General features: G+C 35.8%; 3 annotated features.

Annotated features, from left to right (window-relative positions):
- Positions 19-755: an enhancer, noted in NCBI's record as "OCT4-NANOG hESC enhancer chr21:10697915-10698651 (GRCh37/hg19 assembly coordinates)". NCBI's record gives its function as "activates a minimal SCP1, AML or CMV promoter by ChIP-STARR-seq in primed H9 embryonic stem cells {active_cell/tissue: H9 hESC(primed)}" and the evidence as "EXISTENCE:reporter gene assay evidence [ECO:0000049][PMID:30033119]".
- Positions 756-1,491: an enhancer, noted in NCBI's record as "OCT4-NANOG-H3K27ac hESC enhancer chr21:10698652-10699387 (GRCh37/hg19 assembly coordinates)". NCBI's record gives its function as "activates a minimal SCP1, AML or CMV promoter by ChIP-STARR-seq in naive H9 embryonic stem cells {active_cell/tissue: H9 hESC(naive)}" and the evidence as "EXISTENCE:reporter gene assay evidence [ECO:0000049][PMID:30033119]".
- Positions 1,492-2,228: an enhancer, noted in NCBI's record as "OCT4-NANOG-H3K27ac hESC enhancer chr21:10699388-10700124 (GRCh37/hg19 assembly coordinates)". NCBI's record gives its function as "activates a minimal SCP1, AML or CMV promoter by ChIP-STARR-seq in naive and primed H9 embryonic stem cells {active_cell/tissue: H9 hESC(naive and primed)}" and the evidence as "EXISTENCE:reporter gene assay evidence [ECO:0000049][PMID:30033119]".

Here is a 2,735-nt window from a genome sequence, read left to right as displayed (position 1 = left end):
AATTCTGAGAAACTTCTTTGTGAGGGTTGGATTCATTTCACACATTTGAACATTTCTTTGATTGAAGATTTGGAAACAGTCTTTTTGTAAAATCTATAAAGGGATAATTGTGAACCCTTTGAGGCCTAGGGTGAAGTAGGAAATATCTTCACATAAAAACTACACAGAAATTTTCTGAGAAACGTTTTAGTGATGCGTGCATTCATCTCACAGAGTTGAACCTTTCCTTTGCTAGAGCACTTTGGAAACAGTCCTATTGTAGAATCCCCAAAGGAATACTTCTCAGCCGATTGAGGCCTTTGGTGATATTGGAAATATCTTCACATAAAAGCTAGACAGAAACTTTCTGAGAAACTTATTTTTAATGAGTGCTCTCATCTCAAAGAGTTAAGTGTTTCTTTTGAATGAGCAGTTTGGAAACACTCTTTTTGCATAATCTGCAAATGGATAATTGGAGCGTTTTGAGGCCTATGGTGAAAAAGGAAATATCTTCACATAAAAACTAAACAGAAGCTTTCTGAGAAACTACTTTGTAATGTGTGCATTCATCTCACAGCGTTGAAAACTTCTTTTGATTGAGCAGTTTGTAAACAGTCTTTTTTGTAGAATCTGCAAATGGGTATTTGGAGTGCTCTGAGTTCTATAGTGAAAAAGGAAATATCTTCCAAAAAAAACTAGAAAGAAACATTCTGAGAAACTTCTTTGTGATATGTACTTTCATCTCACAGAGTTGAACCTTTCTTTTCATTGAGCAGTTTGGAAACAGACTTTTTATAGAATCTGGAAATGCATATTTGGAGAGCTTTGAGGCCTATGGAGAAAAAGGAAATATCTTCAGATAAACACTAAACAGAAGCTTTCTGAGAAACTTCTTTGTGATGTCTGCATTCATATCACAGAGCTGAAACTTTCTTTTGATTTAGCAGTTTGTAAACAGTCTTTTGGTAGAATCTGCAAATAGATACTTGGAGTGCTTTGAGGCCTATGTTGAAAAAGGAAATATCTTCACAAAAAATCTAGAAAGATACATTCTGAGAAACTTCTTTGTGATGTGTGTTTTCACCTCACAGAGTTGAAACTTTCTTTTCATTGAGCAACTTGGAAACAGTCTTTTTGTGGAATCTGCAAATGGATATTTGGAGCGCTTTGAGGCTTGTGGTGAAAAAGGAAATATCTCATGTAAACCCTAGACAGAAGTATTCTGAGAAACTTCTTTGTATTGTGTCCATTCATCTCACAGAGTTGAAACTTTCTTTGGATTGAGCAGTTTGGAAATAGTCTTTTTGTAGAATCTGTGAAAAATATTTTTGGGCCCTTTATGGCCCATGGTGAAACAGAAAATATCCTCAAAGAAAAACTAGACATAAGCTTTCTGAGAAACTTCTTTGTGATGTGTACTTTCAACACACGGAGTTGTAGCTTTCTTTTCATTGAGCAGTTTTGAAACAGTCTTTTTGCGGAATCAGCAAATGGATGTTTGGAGTGCTTTGAGGCCTATGGTGAAAAGGTGAATAACTTCACATAAAAAATAGACAGAAGCATTGTGAGAAACATCTCTGTGATGTGTGCATTCATCTCACAGAGTTGAACCTTTCTTTGATTGAGCAGTTTGGAAACAGTCCTTTTGTAGAATCTGCAAAGGGATATTTCTGAGCCCATTGAAGCCTAGGGTGAAAAAGAAATGTCTTCCCATAAAAAGTAGATAGAAGCATTCTGATAAACTTTTTTGTGGTGTGTCCATTCATCTCACAGAGTTGAAACTTCCCTTGGATTGAGCAGTTTGGAAACAGTCTTTTTGCAGAATTTACAAAAAAATTTTGTGAGCCTTATACGGCCCATGGTGAAATAGGAAATATCGTCACATAAAAAATAGACAGAAGCTTTCTGAGAGACTACTTTGTGATGTTTGCTTCCGTGTCACAGGTTTGAACCTTTCTTTTGATTGAGCAGTTTGGAAACACTCTTTTTGTAGAATCTACAAATGGGTATTTGGAGCGCTTTGAGGCCTATGGTGAAAAAAGAAATATCTGCACATAAAAACTAGACAGATGCATTCTGCAAAACTTCTTTGTAATGTGTGCATTCATCTCACAGAGTTGAATCTTTCTTTGGATTCAGCAGTTTTCTAAACAGACCTTTTGTAAAATCTACAAAGTAATACTTCTGAGCCCATTGAGGCCTATGGTGAAAAAGGAAATATCTTCACACGAAATCTTAACAGAAGCATTCTGAGAAACTTCTTTGTGATGTGTGCATTCATCTCACAGTGTTGAAACTTTCTTTTGATTGAGCAGTTTGGAAACGGTCTTTTTGTACAATCTGCAAAGGGATATTTCTGAGCCATTTGAGGCCTACTGTGAAAGAGAAATATCTTCATATAAAAACTAGCAAAAGCATTCTGAGAAACTTCTTTGTAATGTGTGCATTCATCACACAGAGTTGAAACTTTCTTTTGATTGAGCAGTTTGGGGACAGTCTTTTTGTATAATGTGCAAAAGGATATTTGTGAGCCCTTTCAGGACTGTGGTGAAATAGGGAATATCTTCACAAAAAAACTAGACCGAAGCTTTTGGAGAAACTTCTTTGTGTTGTGTGCTTTCATCTCACAGAGTTGAACTTTTCTTTGATTGAGCAGTTTGTAAACATTCTTTTTGTAGAATCTGAAGATGGATATTTGCAGCATTTCAGGCCTATGGTGAACAGGAAATTTCTTCACATAAAAACTAGACAGAAGC

This window comes from Homo sapiens, chromosome 21 (assembly GCF_000001405.40).
Source record: "Homo sapiens chromosome 21, GRCh38.p14 Primary Assembly".
Classification (NCBI taxonomy): Eukaryota; Metazoa; Chordata; class Mammalia; order Primates; family Hominidae; genus Homo; species Homo sapiens.
Note: the sequence above shows the minus strand (reverse complement) of the source record. Positions and strands in the feature narration are given on the sequence as shown.